Source organism: Homo sapiens, chromosome 5 (genome assembly GCF_000001405.40).
Source record: "Homo sapiens chromosome 5, GRCh38.p14 Primary Assembly".
Lineage (NCBI taxonomy): Eukaryota > Metazoa > Chordata > Mammalia > Primates > Hominidae > Homo > Homo sapiens.
The window spans coordinates 141,238,147-141,258,126 of NC_000005.10; the positions used below are offsets into that span (position 1 = coordinate 141,238,147).

Here is a 19,980-nt window from a genome sequence, read left to right on the forward strand (position 1 = left end):
AAGACTCCATTGGTAATAGTAAAATTCCTTTGTTTAACCTATCTTGAAGGGGGATGTCTTGAAATCAAAAGAGACTTGAAAGGTATGTACAACCTTGAGTACTCAATTAGACTATCTACCATGAAACCCTGGTCTTTTATTGCATGCTTCTAATATTAACTTAATGAATGAAATACAGGATGTACAAGCCTAGAGATAACAAATCTATACTAGAGGCTTATGTAACAAAATTTAAATTTGTAAATAATTTATGAGGTCTTTCAACAGATAAATGCTACAAAGGGCTTTATGAAATGTCTCATTAACTTTACCTCCATTATTTTATATGTCCCATGATTACTTTTTAAATAATACTTTTTGTTTAAAAAATAATAATAACACTGAAATTGTAAGTTTTGGGTGTCTGTACCTTTTCTCAGGATCATCATACCCTCCTTAGCAGACTCGTTCTTTTAAAAATTACTTGCTAAGCTCAGTGTGAACAAAATTATTTTTGTCATGTAATGTAAAATATTCTTGCTCCATAAATAATCCCAATTTATCGATCATATGGATTGATTCATGATTTCAGTTATAGTAATAAATATTTAATTAATATCCTCTATTGCTAGAAAGCCTCACGAAAGAAATTTAAGTTTCTTCCAAGCCTAGGAGCTAAGATCTTAGAAAGAGGAAACTTTTTCCAAGAGATGAAAGATGGGAATGAAAAACTAACTTTGATTCATTGGGTTACTGACATAGGTACAAGCTTCTATCCCATTAATATTAAAAAATGCATAGACATTCAGGACACATTTTCTTGGACATGTAAATCCATAATAGTGAATTTGGACCCATGACCAAAATATTTCTATAAGGAAATTTGTCCATCAGATTTTGCCCATGACTGGCATATTTTGAAAGTTTAATTAATCGAACTTGTTTGTATAGAAGAAAACATTCTAAAGTAGAATGTTGATTTGAGTTATTTATGCCTTAAGAGAAACCAATATGAACCACAGTTCTTACACTTGGCTCATCCTTAGTTTTCTCAGTTAGCTAGATAATTAGAATGCCACAACACATAATAGTGTCTATTATTTAAACATTGTGAGTAAAACATTGGCTAAAGTTGGCACAGTTGGGAAGACCCCCAAGTCTCCTCCCCCAAAATGTTTTCTCTTTCCTCAGAAGTAAAAATTTCAGTTCCATGCTAGGGTTTCAGTATTCCAATGAATCCACAAGAGATACATAATTGCTTACTAAAAATGAGTTGAGATCTTCTCCAGTTGGGAATATGCTTAACCTGCTATTTCAGGTGAACTTAACATATTTTCTTCTGCATTTTACTTTTTACTTTAACTTCAGCCTTTATATCCATGATCTTGGCTGGCTCCCTCTTCAAGGTCTCAGTGACTCTCAGCTTCAACATGTGTGTATCTCAGTATTAACAATAGATGGTGATGCTCTTTATAAATTATTTTAGATACTGTAACAAGTCAACATAACAAGCTCACAGTCCTTAGGCAATATTCACAAATAAGTTATCCACAACTCTTAGGCTACCTATTGAGTTTGCATAATAAACCAGATTTAGCTAGTATATCACTTAAGTTTACACTCCTGAAATGTTAGAATGAATCTCTTCAACTACTGTGCTAGCACTCATTCGATCCATCAAAGAGAAGAGGCTTTCTTAACCGAAAATTGCGTTGCTGCAAGGATTGATTCCCAGAGCAGATTGCCTACCAACGCAACATAGGCATCCGGACCCTGAATGCTGTTGGTGTTGGAGAAATGGAGGCTGAAAAGGAGCACTTTCCTAGAATAAGGCAAGTGCTGCTTCTCTTTGTTATGCTGTCTCAGACTTGTGCGGAGTGGAATATACTGTGCGGAGTGGAATATACTGTAGCAGAAGAAACAGAAAGTGGTTCTTTTGTGGCCAATCTAACAAAGGACCCAGGGCTAGAAGTAAGAGTAATATACCAGTGGAGGCCTCGGGTCATTTTTAACAATAACAAAAAATATTTTCAGCTGAAACTTCAGACCGGAGACCTGCAAGTAAATGAGACATTGGACCGGGAAGAATTGTGTAGAATCACTGAGCCTTGTGTGCTGCAATTCCAAGTGTTACTGGAAGAACCTTTGGAGGTTTAAACTTTTGGTCAGTGACATAAACACAATTCCCCTGTATTCCCAGAAGCAGAAATTATTTTGAAATCATGGAAAATACTCCTCCAGGAACTGTGTTTCCTCTGAAAAATACACAAGATTTGGATGTGGCCATCAATAACATCCAAAACTACACCATCTACCCCTACTCCCATGTCCACGCTCTCACCCAAAATGGCAGTGAAGGCAGAAAATACCCAGAGCTGGTTCTGGACAAAGCCCTGGATCGGGAGGAGCAGGCTGAGATCAGGTTAACTCTCATGGCAGTAGATGGCGGGACTCCTCCCAGAACTGGGACTGCTCTGGTCCTCATTGAAATCTTGGACATCAATGACAATGCACCTGAGTTTGTGTAGCCACTCTATCAGGTGCAGATATCAGAAAACAGCCCCCTGGATTCCCTTGTTGCCACTGTTTCCGCTAGAGATTCAGACATGGGAATTAATGGTGAGATATTCTACTCATTTTTTATGGTGATGAAGAGATTTCTAAGACATTTGCACTTAATGAACGAAGGGGAGAAATTAAAATAATCAGAAAACTAGATTTTGAAAAAATTGTGTCATATCAGGTGGATATTAAAGCCTCTGATGGGGCAGGTCTTTCTGGAAAATGCACTGTCATAATACAGGTGGTAGATATCAACGATAACGCTCCGGAACTGACCATGGCTTCATTCACAAGCCCCATCCGCGAAAATTCTCCTGAGACCGTTGCAGCTCTTTTCAGCATTCAAGACCGCGATTCTGGGAAAAATGGAAGAATAGTTTGATCAATTCAAAATGATGTTCCGTTCATGCCGAAACCTTCCGTTGAGAATTTATACTGGCTGTTAACAGAAGGACCACTGGACAAAGAGATTAGAGCCGAGTACAACATCACCAACACAGCCACGGACTTGGGGACTCCTAGGCTGAAAACCGAGTACAACATAACGGTGCTGGTCTCCTACGTCAATGACAAAGCCCCCACCTTCACCTAAACCTCCTACACCCTGTTCGTCCGCGAGAACAACAGCCCCGCCCTGCATATTGGCAGCGTCAGCACCGCAGAGACTCGGGCACCAACATCCAGGTCACCTACTCGCTGCTGCCGCCCCGGAACCCGCACCTGCCCCTCGCCTCCCTGGTCTCCATCAACACAGACAACGGCCACCTGTTCGCCCTCAGGTCGCTGGACTACGAGGCCCTGCAGGAGTTCGAGTTCCGCGTGGGCGCTTCAGACCGCGGCTCCACGGCGCTGAGCAGCGAGGCGCTGGTGCGCGTGCTGGTGCTGGACGCCAACGACAGCTCACTCTTCGTGCTGTTCCCGCTGCAGAACGGCTCCGCGCCCTGCACCGAGCTGATGCCCCGGGCGGGCCGCCGAGCCGGGCTACCTGGTGACCAAGGTGGTGGCGGTGGACGGTGACTCGGGCCAGAACGCCTGGCTGTCGTAGCAGTTGCTCAAGGCCACGGAGCCAGGGCTGTTCGGCGTGTGGGCGCACAATGCACTGACAGGCTGCTGAGCGAGCGTGACACAGCCAAGCACAGGCTGATGGTCCTGGTCAAGGACAATGGCGAGCCTCCGCGCTCGGCCACCGCCACGCTGCACGTGCTCCTGGTGGATGGCTTCTCCCTGCCCTACTTGCCGTTCCCTGAAGCGGCCCCGGCCCAGGCCCAGGCCGACTTGCTCACCGTCTACCTGGTGGTGGCGTTGGCCTTGGTGTCGTCGTTCTTCCTCTTCTCGGTGCTCCTGTTCGTGGCGGTGCGGCTGTGCAGGAGGAGCAGGGAGGCCTCATTGGGTCGCTGCTCGGTGCCCGAGGACCCCTTTCCAGGCATCTGGTGGACGTGAGCGACACCAGGACCCTATCCCAGAGGTACAAGTATGAAGTGTTTCTGACGCGAGGCTCCGGGACAAATGAATTCAAATTCCTGAAGTCTGTTATCCCTAAGCATCCGGGCGCTGTGAATGATGGGAGGAAAAGTCCAACTTTGTAAATGGTTTTGGATTCAATTAAGAATCTGTAGATTTTTCAGAGCATTTAGGATAAAGGTTAGTCCTTTATCAATATATTAAGTCTCTGTTATGTTTTTTGTGCTATATGGATTTTCTAAGATTTTTGCTGATTTCATTTTCCTACTTAAGATTAGACATTTTCTTTGATTATTTGTTCATACTTGGTCTCCTTTTATCATGTCCATTTTGATGAATACAACTTTCAGGTTTACTCATTAATGAAAAGTAATATTTGTTCAATTTATCAACTTTTCAAAATCACAGGCTGTTGACTTGAAGACTCCAGCTCCATTCCGTTTCATTAAAGAAAGCTTTTCTAAACTTTTGATGCTTAGAAGACAGGAACGATGATATAGTGATTATTAGTACATATTCTATTGATTCTGTCTTATGCTTACCTGTCTTGAATTTTTAAATGGAGAAGCGTCTGCAAAAATTGCATCGTTTTATTTCACAATAGCTTGAAGTGGGAAAGACTACATTTTTCCCCAAACTTAAAGACTTTTCTGCTCTTTTTATAACCTTCACTCCATAACATATATGAGCATTATTATTACTATTATTGAGTCAGAGTTTCACTCTTGTCGCCCAGGCTGGAGTGCAATGGCGCGATCTGGGCTCACTGCAACCTCGCCTCCCCGGTTCAAGCGATTCTCCTGCCTCAGCCTCCCGAGTAGCTGGGATTACAGGCTCCTTGTTTTAGTAGAGATAGGGTTTCACCATGTTGGCCAAACTCAAACTGGCTCCTGAGGTCAGGAGTTTGGCTGGTCTCAAACTCCTGACCTCAGGTGATACACTCGCCTCTGCCTCCCAAAGTGTGGCATTACAGGTGTGAGCCACCTTGCCCGGCCATACGAGCATCTTTAGTGATTATTAGATTATCTCAAGATTTTAAAATCATAGCTCCCTTTTGTAGCGTCTATCTAGCCCACCTGATCTTTTTCTGGAAAATTCTCCCTGTCTTTGGCTGAAGTGTAATGTTGCAGCCACATTTATTTTATATGACCCACCTCCCTCTGTGATTTCAAACACAAAAATAAGATGATCCTAGCTGGCCTAATCTGATTCTCTCTGTTTAAAAAAAAATGGCTTTAAGAACCAGATACAACATAGTCTCTTTGTTAGGAACATAAGCAGAAAGTGGTGTCATATTTGGCTAAACACTTGCAAAGAAATACAGAACATCAATCTATTGAGAGACAAGAAAAAATAAGGTACCAAAAGAATGACCTTGTCATAGATTTTCCTGTTTTAGATTTTCCAGTCCCTCCCAAGTCTTTTTCCCTTAGGTTGCTGGAGACAAATTTGTGCTCTTTAATAAATTTCCCTCTAATTAAGAGATCTAAGTGAGGTTTTTGTTGTCAAAAGCATGTTTAGATATTCCTGCATTGTTGGTAAGTTAGACCTTTCTTCCTATTGGGTTTTTATTGTGGCTTTTCATATTAGTATGACAACATTTGGGATCAAGGAGGTTGTAAAATATTAGTAGTCTATAAGGGACATGCACTAGCTTTTGTCAGAATATACAATTTTGAGAAAAACTGAAGGATCTTTCCAATGGTACAGTCTTTGAAGTGTTTAATAGAAATTCTTAGAACATTTTATTATATAAGAGTTTTGAATATCGTAAGTGTCATAATAACATTACTGTAAAAAAAAAACCTTGACAATGAAAAATGTGTGTCTAAAAGAGACATAATCCTTATCTTTAGGGTCATCATAATCTTGTTATGTTCTTTCTTTCTGTCATATAATATATCCCTTGCTTATGGGTAGCTAAGTTGTTTTGCCACTTAATGAAATGACATTTTAGGTCATTCTGAGTTATTTCACATTACTATTTAAAGGGCATAGGAAATAGCTACCTTATGAACATGTTGTCTTTGTTTATCCATCTTATATAATGAACTTGAATCCCAGAAGAAGAGGGAATTTCTACAGTAGGAGGAGAACCTATCTGTCAGAATGTTTAAATTAATTGTGATTTATTAATGGATCCATTTAACAAATATTTATTGAGCACGTACCATGTGCCAGGGATTATTTTAGATATTGGGGATGCAGCAGTGAACAAAATGAAGTTCTAACATGTGAGGTTGAAACAGAAAGGAAACAACTAAATAAGTACATCTATACTACGTCAGATAATAAATACGAGAGAGACAAGGCAGGGCTGGGTACAGCAGCTCATGCCTATAACCCCAGCACTTTGGGAGGCTGAGGCAGGAGGATTGCTTGAGCTCGGAAATTTGAGACCAGCCCGGGCAACATAGCAAGACCTCATCTTTACAAATAATTAAAACATTAGCCAGGCATGGTGATGCGCAACTGTGGTCCCAGCTACAGTTGCTGAGGTGGGGGGATTGCTTGAGCCTGGGTAGTCAAGGCTGCAATGAGCAGTGATTGTGCCACTGCACTCCCTCCTGGACAACAGAGCAAGACCCCATCTCAAAAAAAAAAAAAGGAAAAATGAAAAGAAAAAAAAGAAAAAGCAAAGTAAGAGATATAGGAAGTGCCTTCATATGTATTTTTCCACAGTTTAAAATTTTCATAAAATCATAACTCTCTGACTTTATGTAGAAAGGATACCACACTGGAATTAACGTGTAGCTTTTTCTTGATGTAATCCAACCAATGGGAGCACAATTCTGGTACATAGGCTGTCTAGAATTTGAAAGAAATTAAAGAATTCATTTTGTTTTGCTGATAAATTTTTAAGAAATCACGTGGCTTTATGTTATTATTATTACAAGATGACTGATCACTATTATGTCTTCTTTCACTTCTCAATTTCCCTCAGAACACTACACCCAGACTACAGGCTCTGGAGGGTGGGGACCATGTCTGGGTTGTTTACTGATGTATTTCATAATTTGGCACATAGAGACCAATAATACTCCTTTAAATGAAGAAATTAATAATTACCATTGCGTGATATTGTGATTACATCATTTCCTCCCAATTTCCAAACTCCTAATAGAATAGAGAATAGATCAATTGTAGCAATTCGTTTCGAAGCAAAGACAACGCATGGTGGCGCTGCAGGCTAAGGCTTCAAAAAAAGGAAAAGGAAAAAGCCCATGAAATGCTACTAGCTACTTCAGACCTCTTTCAGCCTAAGAGGAAAGCCTGTTAGCAGAGCACGGACCAGTGTCTCCGGAGAATGCTATTCTCCTACATTTCCGAACAGGTTATCAACGCACAGATCGATCACTGCCTCTGTCCCATCGCTCCCTGAAGTAGCTCTGACTCCGGTTCCTTGAAAGGGGCGTGTACAGAAGTAAAGATGGAGCCTGCAGGGGAGCGCTTTCCCGAACAAAGGCAAGTCCTGATTCTCCTTCTTTTACTGGAAGTGACTCTGGCAGGCTGGGAACCCCGTCGCTATTCTGTGATGGAGGAAACAGAGAGAGGTTCTTTTGTAGCCAACCTGGCCAATGACCTAGGGCTGGGAGTGGGGGAGCTAGCCGAGCGGGGAGCCCGGGTAGTTTCTGAGGATAACGAACAAGGCTTGCAGCTTGATCTGCAGACCGGGCAGTTGATATTAAATGAGAAGCTGGACCGGGAGAAGCTGTGTGGCCCTACTGAGCCCTGTATAATGCATTTCCAAGTGTTACTGAAAAAACCTTTGGAAGTATTTCGAGCTGAACTACTAGTGACAGACATAAACGATCATTCTCCTGAGTTTCCTGAAAGAGAAATGACCCTGAAAATCCCAGAAACTAGCTCCCTTGGGACTGTGTTTCCTCTGAAAAAAGCTCGGGACTTGGACGTGGGCAGCAATAATGTTCAAAACTACAATATTTCTCCCAATTCTCATTTCCATGTTTCCACTCGCACCCGAGGGGATGGCAGGAAATACCCAGAGCTGGTGCTGGACACAGAACTGGATCGCGAGGAGCAGGCCGAGCTCAGATTAACCTTGACAGCGGTGGACGGTGGCTCTCCACCCCGATCTGGCACCGTCCAGATCCTCATCTTGGTCTTGGACGCCAATGACAATGCCCCGGAGTTTGTGCAGGCGCTCTACGAGGTGCAGGTCCCAGAGAACAGCCCAGTAGGCTCCCTAGTTGTCAAGGTCTCTGCTAGGGATTTAGACACTGGGACAAATGGAGAGATATCATACTCCCTTTATTACAGCTCTCAGGAGATAGACAAACCTTTTGAGCTAAGCAGCCTTTCAGGAGAAATTCGACTAATTAAAAAACTAGATTTTGAGACAATGTCTTCGTATGATCTAGATATAGAGGCATCTGATGGCGGGGGACTTTCTGGAAAATGCTCTGTCTCTGTTAAGGTGCTGGATGTTAACGATAACTTCCCGGAACTAAGTATTTCATCACTTACCAGCCCTATTCCCGAGAATTCTCCAGAGACAGAAGTGGCCCTGTTTAGGATTAGAGACCGAGACTCTGGGGAAAATGGAAAAATGATTTGCTCAATTCAGGATGATGTTCCTTTTAAGCTAAAACCTTCTGTTGAGAATTTCTACAGGCTGGTAACAGAAGGGGCGCTGGACAGAGAGACCAGAGCCGAGTACAACATCACCATCACCATCACAGACTTGGGGACTCCAAGGCTGAAAACCGAGCAGAGCATAACCGTGCTGGTGTCGGACGTCAATGACAACGCCCCCGCCTTCACCCAAACCTCCTACACCCTGTTCGTCCGCGAGAACAACAGCCCCGCCCTGCACATCGGCAGTGTCAGCGCCACAGACAGAGACTCGGGCACCAACGCCCAGGTCACCTACTCGCTGCTGCCGCCCCGGGACCCGCACCTGCCCCTCACCTCCCTGGTCTCCATTAACACGGACAACGGCCACCTGTTCGCTCTCCAGTCGCTGGACTACGAGGCCCTGCAGGCTTTCGAGTTCCGCGTGGGCGCCACAGACCGCGGCTTCCCGGCGCTGAGCAGCGAGGCGCTGGTGCGAGTGCTGGTGCTGGACGCCAACGACAACTCGCCCTTCGTGCTGTACCCGCTGCAGAACGGCTCCGCGCCCTGCACCGAGCTGGTGCCCCGGGCGGCCGAGCCGGGCTACCTGGTGACCAAGGTGGTGGCGGTGGACGGCGACTCGGGCCAGAACGCCTGGCTGTCGTACCAGCTGCTCAAGGCCACGGAGCCCGGGCTGTTCGGCGTGTGGGCGCACAATGGCGAGGTGCGCACCGCCAGGCTGCTGAGCGAGCGCGACGTGGCCAAGCACAGGCTAGTGGTGCTGGTCAAGGACAATGGCGAGCCTCCGCGCTCGGCCACCGCCACGCTGCAAGTGCTCCTGGTGGACGGCTTCTCTCAGCCCTACCTGCCGCTCCCAGAGGCGGCCCCGGCCCAAGCCCAGGCCGACTCGCTTACCGTCTACCTGGTGGTGGCATTGGCCTCGGTGTCTTCGCTCTTCCTCTTCTCGGTGTTCCTGTTCGTGGCAGTGCGGCTGTGCAGGAGGAGCAGGGCGGCCTCAGTGGGTCGCTGCTCGGTGCCCGAGGGCCCCTTTCCAGGGCATCTGGTGGACGTGAGCGGCACCGGGACCCTTTCCCAGAGCTACCAGTACGAGGTGTGTCTGACGGGAGGCTCTGAAAGTAATGATTTCAAGTTCTTGAAGCCTATATTCCCAAATATTGTAAGCCAGGACTCTAGGAGGAAATCAGAATTTCTAGAATAATGTAGGTATCTGTAGCTTTCCGACCGTCTGTTAATTTTGTCTTCCTCACTTTTCACCTTAGTTTTTTTTAACCCTTTAGTAATCTTGAATTCTACTTTTTTTTAAATTTCTACTGTTGTCTTTAGTAATGTTACTCATTTCCTTTGTCTGATTGTTAGTTTTCAAATTATTGTATTATTATAAATATTTTATATCAGGAAAGTTCATATTTCTGAATAAATTAATAGTATTCATTCCTGAAGGGTGATATGAAAGTTAACCCCACCTAATAAACATAACTCTAATTCTGAAATTACCTTTCACACTATATGACACTACATAAGAATGTATGATTTTTGAAGTCATATTTTAAGTTTTTTTTATAGTTTTTCTTATTCACACAGCTTGACTTTTTGACAAAAGTTTGGGGTGTAATCATTTCATATTTATCCATGTGTAATTTCTTCCAAGCTTCATATTTGGAGTTTTGTTTTTTCCAATAAGGAGCAACATGGATAAGTTTAAGCTACTCTTTTCAAGGTCACACTTGTAAGCATTAGATTTTCATTCTAAAACACATATGTCATCTCATAAAAATATATCTGCGTAATGTATTCTGTCTCATGTAAATTAACATAGAAAAGACTAATGGGTTCTTCCTTATCTCTATCTAATGTTATGATCCTATTGGGGGGACTGGACAGGCTTTCTAATACCCAGATTTACTGTGTTTAAGGTGTTCGTATAAGGCCAATAGACACTAGGACCAAGTAATGCATCTCCTGCAATTTCCTCTTTTCACAGCAGGAAAATCTTAACGAGTTCCAAATTCTGGGCTTAGAGGAGCTTCTGATGGTACAGTATGCCAACATCTACTTGTTTTGGATGGCAACATTGTTCTGATTCATAAGGAATTTGAAAGAAAATACATTGTAGAATTAATATTAGTTAACCAAACAAAATTTATTAAAGGATATGTTGGTGAAGGAGTTGAATTATTTGAGGAAAAAACATCTGCTCTCTTGTCAGGACTTTTCTGTCTCCAGGAGCTTCTCAACTTTGCAGATACTCTAGAATGGTATTGCATGCAAAATAATGACCGCCAAGATGTTCCTGCCCTAATCCCCAGAACCTATGAATATGTTATATTGCAAAGAAATTAAGGTTCAAACAGAATTAAGGTTGCCAATCAGCTAAACTTAAAATAGGGAGACTCTCCTAGATAATCTGGGTGGGTCTATTTCAATCAGTGGAAAGGCCATAAAAGCAGAGTTGAGTCTTCCGTGAGATGAAAATAAATTTTGTTTAAGGACAGCAGCTTCAGCTTATGCCCCAGAATTCCAGCCTGCCCCTCCTAACTGCCTGCTGTACAGATTTTGGACTTGTCCAGCCACGTTTCAAAACTGAGTAAGTCACTTCCTTGCAATAAATTGATTACTACACATCTGCTGCCTGTTTCTCTGGCTGAACTCCAACTAACACAGATTTTGATACCTGGAAGTGGGGTGCTACTGTAATAAACACTTAAAATGTGCAGATGGCTTCTGAATTGGACAGTGGGCAGAGGCTGGAAGAACTTTGACAGGCATGACAGAAAAAGCCTCGCTTGCTTTGGACAGAGTGTTAGCAGAAATATGGTGTTAACAAATCTGCTAGTAAGGACTCAGAATGAAGTGAGGAGCATGTTGGAGAAACATGTTGCCTTAGAGAATACCACATCACTTTAAATAGATTGTGAGTAGAAATATGGATGTTAAAGTCTCTGCTGGTGAGGGTGCAGAAATGAGGAAAATATTATTGGAAACTGAAGAAAAGGGAATCCTTTTATATGGTGGAAGAAAAATTAGCTGAATTGTGTCCTGTAGTTATGTAGAAAGAATTTTTAAGCAATGAACTTGGGAGATTTCACTGAGATTTTCAGGCAAAGGGTTAAATGTACAGCCTGTTTTTTTCTTGCTGCTTATAGTAAAATGTGAGAGGGAAAAGAATGAGAGGAATTAGATTGAGAGAAGAACTGTGAAGCAAAAAGGAACCCAGACTTGATGGTTGGGGAAATTCTCACCCTATTCAGACTGCAACAGATGTTAAGATCAGGAGATTCACTGCTAAGGATGCATGTTTTGGAGAGAAAGCCACAGACATATCAGGACAACCTTTTACTAGTGCGTTGAAAGAATCAGGTAGTCAATCATACAGAAGGCTCTTTGAAGAGACTAGGTACATGACATGGATATCTTCAGCCACATCAGCAGAAGCCAGGAATATAGACATAATTACTCAGGAAATAACTTCGAAGGAGTCTCTTGTTTAATAAATTGAATCCCTGTGAAATGCACAGGAAATAAGGTTATTGAGAATGTTTAATCAGCAGAAACACTGCCAGCTTGAATTGAAAGGGATAGAGAGAACTAATTAAAGGAGGATGTGGTACCCCCCTCCCCAAACTCTGTAAGCTAGAAATAGACTGATAAAACTGCTTAGCTAAAAACATGTGCCAATTCCAATGAAAAAGGAAGGATGCATCAGAGGATGGAGCCTGAAGTCCAGAGAGTACAGCTCTCAAAACACAGAGGATTAGTCCCAAGCCTTGAAAGCAGGAGTTTCCCTGGATGTATTGCCACATTCATTGGTGCAGGTGATTTTTTTTTTTTTACTTTTACTTTTTTACACAGTTGCCAGACTAGGTTCCAAGTTGTCTACTTAAAATGTATGAGGCATTTGTCAGAGAAGTAATGAGGTAGGAGATCAGCAGGACTTATTCCCCTATCAGAACAGGACAAAATGAAGAAATTGACAGGAACCAGCAGGTGGTGCACAACTGAAGTGAAAAACCCTGCAGGAAGTAGCAGCTGGTGTTGAAGGCAACCTCTAATTGCCCTTACTGCTCATTAGCATAAGAGATTCCCACCAGCCCCATGACAATTTACAAATGTCATGGCAACCCAGAAGTTACTGCCCTTTTCCATGGCAACAACCTGGAAGTTACTGTCCCTTTTTCTAGAAAGTTCTGAATAACCAGCTCCTCAATTTGCATTAACTCACCTCTTAATTTGCATGTAAGTGAAAATAGGTATAAGTGAGTATAAATACAGTTGCCAACAACCCATAAGCTGCTACTGCCAACTCTGGGTGCACTGCAAAATAGTTAGTCCTGCTCAGCAAGGAGCAGTCCCTTTTAATAAAAGATTGCTGTCTAATAACACCTGATTGCCCTTGAATTCTTTTATGTGTAAAGCCAAAAGGCCTCCTGGGATAAGCCCTAATTTGGGGCCTTGCCTGTCTTGAATCAGTCATATTGTTTTCCCTGGGGTGTTATCAAGGGACAGTACTCTGAACTACTGCAATTAAATTTATGCCATCATTCAATCATCTCACAACTGGCAAACATATGCAAATAACTGAATTTTCAAGAAATATTCCTGGCTAGTAGCATCTTCAAAAGCTGACTTTGGAGAACAGAATCAGAAAGTGAACGGATAAATGCGAGGCACGCTTTTACATCTGGACTTAACGGTATCCTGAGCAAGATGACTAAGATGTTTATGCAGCAATCCAGAATACCCTGCCCCCATCACAGGCAATAAGTAGCAAGGCTAAAAATTTTACTTAGTAAAATTGACTAAATATGGATCCTGAAAATATTCATAAGCAGATCAGCAGTCCATGTGTTTTTGTGGATTATGGCTATTTGAAGGATAAGTTCCAATTCTCCTCTATGTCATGCATAGCACCTAGAACAATTTTGAACATGAGTGACAATTCATTGTTTCTTAGTGAATAAAAAAATTAAGGACAGTGAAATAAGTTTTTTGGAAACTAGCAGAATAGAGACTCTCATCAACATAAACAGAGCCATTCATTTTACCTATTTTCTCTTTCAGATTTTGTAGACTTCTTTTGAGATTTCTGTAAGTCTCACCTTGCCTTTTATGATGTTAATCTAAGGCCATTGACCGTCTTGCTTTATTTCCCTTCCTTGCTTTTATTTTCTTCCTAAATGGCAATTGGAATACATAGGTAGTTGTGGTCATATGACAGCATTCACAAGGTGGGAGCTACCTTATTCCAACAATTGGAAAGTGGAGAAGAATTTTAATTTCTTCCACAAATGAATTTAAATGGGAGCAACAGTTTTCTGAGAAACCCATTAGCTATATTTTTGGTATAATAAAAATAAGCTGCAGTGTCTCTTCACTATCCTCCAAACCACTACTTAAAAGAGCAACATGGAACTTCTATTTCTAGTTTGATTACTGTAAACATGGAAATTATGTATAATTTTAGACAATTTAGTTAATATGACTATTTAAATGTATATAAAATTATCCCTTTTGGCTGATGGCTGAATTTTTAGAAAAGATTTCCTTAAAAGTTGAAAGCTTGGTGGTACTAGCAGAGGTCTCTCTGGATATTTTGAAGTCGTAATGGAGTGTTATGAGTTATCTTTGGGATAATCCCCTAAGGGTTTTATAATCTTAGATAAACACTGTGATGATGTATTTTCTTCACAAAAGAACAAAGGAAACATAAACATAATGAATATTTTTTGTTAATCCAATGCCTATTCCTGTAAAAATGGATTCCTTTCCTGTAAAATCGATAGAATATAGGCTCTAATATAGCAAGCTCATTTCATACGTATTTCCAATCTATTAAGGGAGAGGCTTGTGTCTTTTTTCCCAAGCAAAGCCAAATAGCATTCAATGAGAGTTCACTTTGGTGATGTTTAATGAAAATCTAACTCAGATAGAGGCCTCACTGGAATACTCCATGAACAGAAATGTAATCTGGGCAAAACCCTGCAGGCTTTATCCTGGGAAATGTAATAAAAAAAAATCAGAATATTGTCTCTATTGCTGAATCAGTAGCCTGGAAGTCACTGCAGAAGTTTTACCTGTGGGAGGCTATGGGAACCCTCTTGTGTCATGTGCTCTCAAATGTGAATGAGCGGGCCAAGAACTAAGAATATTCAAAAGATTTTAAATGTCCAAATAGGCAGTTCTGGAAATACCTCAACATTGTTTGGATATTACATTTGACATGAAATAAAAAGGCATATGAAATACTTTGACCAAATTCTGTTCCAAGTTCTCTTTCTGACCAGAAATTTTCATCTGATCATTGTTAAAAGTCTGATCCATGCCAGGGAAGTCAGGCATTCCACATTTTCCAGATCCAAAGAATGGAGGTTAAAGATATTCCTGAGCATGCTCCTTGAAGGAATCTTGTGTCACTCAACTAGCCTGTCCCTACATGTTACTCCTCAAATTGTCACTACTGCCATCAACATTCAGAATCATGTTTGAAAAGTGTATGCTCTTCTACATATCTCTTATATTCTGCATTGAAAATGACTTTTAGAAATTCATAATTCATAGTAACAGAAAATGTACTAACCAGGAAGATCTTTTGCCAAATTAATACTTCTGTTAGTCTAAATTCTTTTAGTATTAATCAACAGAAACCCAATTCAAATTAGCTCTCAAGATAAAATACAGAATTTATTGAGAAGATATTAGGGTATATAAAGTAATTTAGGATATGTTTGGAAATAAAACTGATTGAAAGGTAGGGCCATAACAATTAGAAACAAGGACTTGACCATTTTTTCTATCCTGCTGGTTTCATTCCCTTTTACTGCAGACCAGCTTCCTTTACATGGAGAAAAATGCGCTTATATTTCAAGAGCCTAAAAGTTATTTTATAACTATTATAAGTTGACTCATGCCTTTTCTGGTACCAAGTTTGGAAATACTGGTGGGCTGATATCAATTCCAAACTAGGGCTAGGAAGCAGGAGATTTGTGTTTTTTGGTTTAATAATATGACTGCTCCCATTTGTTTTACAAGAGTCCAATGGGGTGGAGATATATGCACTCCCTGGAAAAGGGGAGGCAAACACATATCTGCATGTGTCAGTATTCACCAACACCAATGATTAGAAATTAAGGGAATCACAGTGAACATTTTCTTCATAATTCTTGTATTTTATGTGTCTGCAAATATTAAAGAAATTTTACTTCACAATCAGGGCAACAGATAGATGGCAGCTCAATTACTTTGAACATCCAGGCATTTGTCTGTGGAATGGTCATAGGTGACAATGGCAACTCAACATTGATGCTGAATTTCAGTATACTGCTCAGCTCACTAAAGAAAACTGATGCCCAGTAGGAAGGGCAAAGTAGACTATCTGGAGTGGTGGCAATTGAGGGTGGTTCCTCTTAAAATGGGAATTAAAATCAGTGAGGCCTGTGACATCTATTTCTTCATCAAAATTTTCTGCAGAACATTCATTTTAGCTAGCACAGTAGCTATTAGCATCTTTTTAAGTGGATTTTTTCTTACACACCTAGATGCCCCCTTAATGATATGTCAAAGGAAGAGATGTAATAGCAAAATGACTTAAATACATGAATTTGTTCTTGACCTTTCTATGTTTCTGACTGCAGTAATCATTATCTAACTGACTGGGGCTTTTGATAACTGCATTACTTCTGGTTATCAGCATAGTCATAAAAAAATTAAAAATTCTCGTGAATTCTAGGACTTTCAGAAGTTGGCACCATATTTACAGCCCCCATTATGAATATTAATGGCTGGAGAACAGCAAATGCCATTTCCTCTAGGTTATTACCATTAGTACCCAATCATTAGTAGTCCCTGTCACTTGTGGCAATGATGGTCATTTTCAAGATAATATTAAGTTGTATACCAAATGAGAGAAGAAAGCTCATTACTACTACTTTTAGATTTGGTCTTTCTCTTACCTTTTCCAAAAAACATATTTGATTAATTCCTGACAAACTTCTTACATATAGAAATGCATGTTTTGAAACAGGCCCAGAGATCCGAATGTGTACTACTTCCTTTGTATCTTAATTTACAAATGTTTTATGGGTAAAGTCTAGAATTTAAAGGCATCTCTAAAGGATTAATAATTTTGTCTTTCTTAGACTGATCTGGAATACCTTGAGAAGAGCATTACTTCCATTTATCAGCATAGTCACCAAAAAGTCGAGAAAAATCTATCATGATACATAAATGATGATGCCTCAAACAATTTTAGAAATCTATAGCTACAAATACACAAAACCCCATAGTGGTTTGTGTATTTGTGTGTGTGCATTTGTGCCTGTATATGTGTGTGTCTCTGGTGGGTGGCTTTAGTAGACAGTGGCAATAAAATGCAGAGATAAATACCAGAATAACATTGCTTTTCCAAAACTTTTCCACATTAAGATTTTTTCTTTAATCTATGAATGTATTTAATAAAGTTGGTGTTAGCAATGTATTGTAGAAGAGTTTATATTTTCAAATGAAAGGAAGTTATTTCTTGCAAATGGAACAATCCCAACATTATTGAATTTAGAATTTTCGTGACCTTTTTGGCCTTGAAGGAGTAGCCTAGGAGAAGGAGCTGTGAAGTAGACATGGTAAATTTTCCCCCAGTGAGATCAGGAAACAATAAAGTTGACAATAGGATCTGACAGGATGAGGGTGAGGTCAGTGTGGCAAATGTGTGCAAGGGCAGGGTGGTTCCTGTCCTCACTTAAAATTTCATATTTTGTTTCTCATGGGTGTTTACATTAAATTTTAATTTTTACAATATTGTAACAAATAGTATTTATCTCCAAGTTTTGGGATAATGACTTAAAATTTGCATCTGAGTTACTTGCTTTGCCCTTGTCCCAGTTGTTCGTTGTTTCCAACTTGCAAGTTCAAATGTTACTATGGTAACAGTGATGGCTACAATTGGAATTCAAGCAAAGAAATCTGAAGCAAGTCCTATTCCAAATATGGAGTGGCAGGGGCAATGATGGAAGAATCCAAAGACATCCAAGCAGATCTCATGAGCTGGAGTCATGCAGAGTGGGAATGGAACAGCACCTGTGTGATCATGATTGTCTAGGAAAATTGTTTGTAAGTTTTTCTTCCAGGTGACATGCAGCCAAGTCAGTGTGCTAATTTTGTTGAGAATTTGTGCATCTATATTCATGAGAGATGTTGATCTACAATTTTTTTTCTTGTAATACCCTTGTCAGGATTTAGTTTCAGGGTTCTCCTGGTCTCATCAAATGACTTGCCAATTGTTTCCTCCACTTCTTCTTTTATGAAAGAGTTTATGTAAGATAGTTATTATTTCTACTTTATGTATTTGATAGAATTTACTGCAGAACCCAACCATGAATGACATTTTCTTTGTGGGAAGATTTTGAATTGCACACTCAATTTCTTAAATAAATATGCTGCAATTCTAATTTTCTGTTTCCTCTTCTGTCGGCAGCTGGCAGCTTGTGTTTTTTAAGCAAATTTGTCTATTTTATCAAAGATGTTGAAGTTATTTTCATGAAGCTATTGATACTATTTCTTTCTCATCTTTCAATATATTTAGAATCTGCAGTGAGGCCCTCCCCCTTTCACTATGGATATTGGTAATTTATGTTTTCCCTCTTTTTGTCTTTATTGGTATTTCTGTCAATGTACCAATTTTGTTAATTTTGAAAAACAAGACAATCATTGGTTTCACTACTTTTCCTATTACTTTCTGTTTTCTTCCTTTTCTCAGAGAAAAAAAGGCTGGAGTGCAGTGATGCGATATAGCTCACTGTGACATCAAACTGCTAGCCTCAAGAGACCCTCCTAAGGCTAGGCATGGTGGCTCACACCTGTAATCCTAGCACTTTGGGAGGCCCAGGCAGATGGATTACCTGAGGTCAGGAGTTTGAGACCAGCCTGGCAAACATGGTGAAACTCCATCTCTACAAAAATTAGCCAGGCATGGTGGCGGGCACCTGTAATCCCAGCTACTAGGGAGGCTGAGGCAGGAGAATCGCTTGAACCCCGGGGGTCAGAGGTTGCAGTAAGCCAAGATCGCGCCACTTCACTCCAGCCTGTGCGAAACAGCAAAATTCCATCACTCACACACACACACACACAAAAGAGAGAAAGAGAGATCCTCCTGCCTCAACCTCGTGAACAGCTAGGACTACAGGTGCATGCCATCAAATCCAGCTAATTATTTTTATTTTTATTTTTGTAGAGACAGTGCCTCACTATGTTGCCTAAGTTGGCCTCAAACTTCTGAGCTTAAGCAATCCTCCCACCTCAACCTTCAAAAATGCTGGGATTACACGTGTGAGCTACCTTTTCTAGACTCCTTTTTGTTTCCTATTTTATTGATTTCTGCTATTCTGTTTTTATTTCTTTTATTCTATGTATTTTGAGTTTAGTTTTCTCTTTTTCTAGCTTCTCTGAAAGCTCAGATCATTGATTCTAAGCCTTTCTTTTCTAACACACTTGAAAATATATAAAAATATGAAGTTATAAATTTCTTCCTGTATATTACTTAAGTTGCATTTCATGAACTTGACTAGTTTGTGTTTTTATTGCCATTCAGTTTGTACTATTCTTCTTTGATCCATTGCTTGACTATAATCGTGTTGCTTAATTTCCAACTATCCAAAGGTAACATTTTTGATTTCCAAAATAATTATTTTTTGGTCTTGGAGCATACTCTGTAAAATTTCAACCCTTTGAGATTTATGAAGTCATTAAAAATTATTCAGCATGTAAGTTACCATGGTGAGTTCCCCATGTGTACTTGAAAGAAATGTGTAACCTACAGTTGTTGGTTGAGTATTCTGTAAATATCAATTAAATCAAGTCACTTGATAATGTTTTTAGATCTTCTTTATTCTTAACATTGTTTCTACATGTTCTGCCAGTTATTAGGAGAAGAGTGTTAAATTCTTCACCTGTGATTGTGAGTTTTTATTTTTTAATTATACTTTAAGTTATAGGGTACATGTGCACAACATGCAAGTTTGTTACATAGGTATACATGTGCCATGTTGGTTTGCTACACCCATTAGCTCGTCATTTACATTAGATATTTCTCCCAATGCCCACCCTGCCCCCCACCCCATGACAGGCCCCTGTGTGTGATGTTCCCCACCCTGTGTCCAAGTGTTCTCATTGTTCAATTCCCACCTATGAGTGACAATATGCGGTGTTTGGTTTTCTGTCCTGGTGATAGTTTGCTCAGATTGATGGTTTCCAGCTGCATCCATGTCCCTGCAAAGGACATGAACTCATCCTTTTTTATGGCTGCATAGTCTTCCATGGGGTATATGTGCCACATTTTCTTAATCCAGTCTATCACTGATGGACATTTGGGTTGGTTCCAAGTTTTTGCTATTGTAA

The 19,980-nt window shown here is 40.6% G+C and overlaps 1 protein-coding gene, 1 pseudogene and 1 further gene across 2 annotated transcripts; all 3 read left to right on the forward strand.

Moving 5' to 3' along the window:
* Window positions 1-11,219, forward strand: part of PCDHB@ (protocadherin beta cluster) — a 197,972-nt gene extending 186,753 nt beyond the window's left edge.
* On the forward strand, window positions 1,975-6,606 carry PCDHB19P (protocadherin beta 19 pseudogene; annotated as a pseudogene). Its single transcript, NR_001282.2, has one exon. The product of NR_001282.2 is annotated as a protocadherin beta 19 pseudogene (transcript).
* Window positions 7,249-11,219, forward strand: PCDHB15 (protocadherin beta 15). Its single transcript, NM_018935.4, has one exon. The coding sequence runs from the start codon at window positions 7,433-7,435 to the stop codon at window positions 9,794-9,796; it is 2,364 nt and encodes a 787-aa protein (NP_061758.1). The 5' UTR covers window positions 7,249-7,432; the 3' UTR covers window positions 9,797-11,219.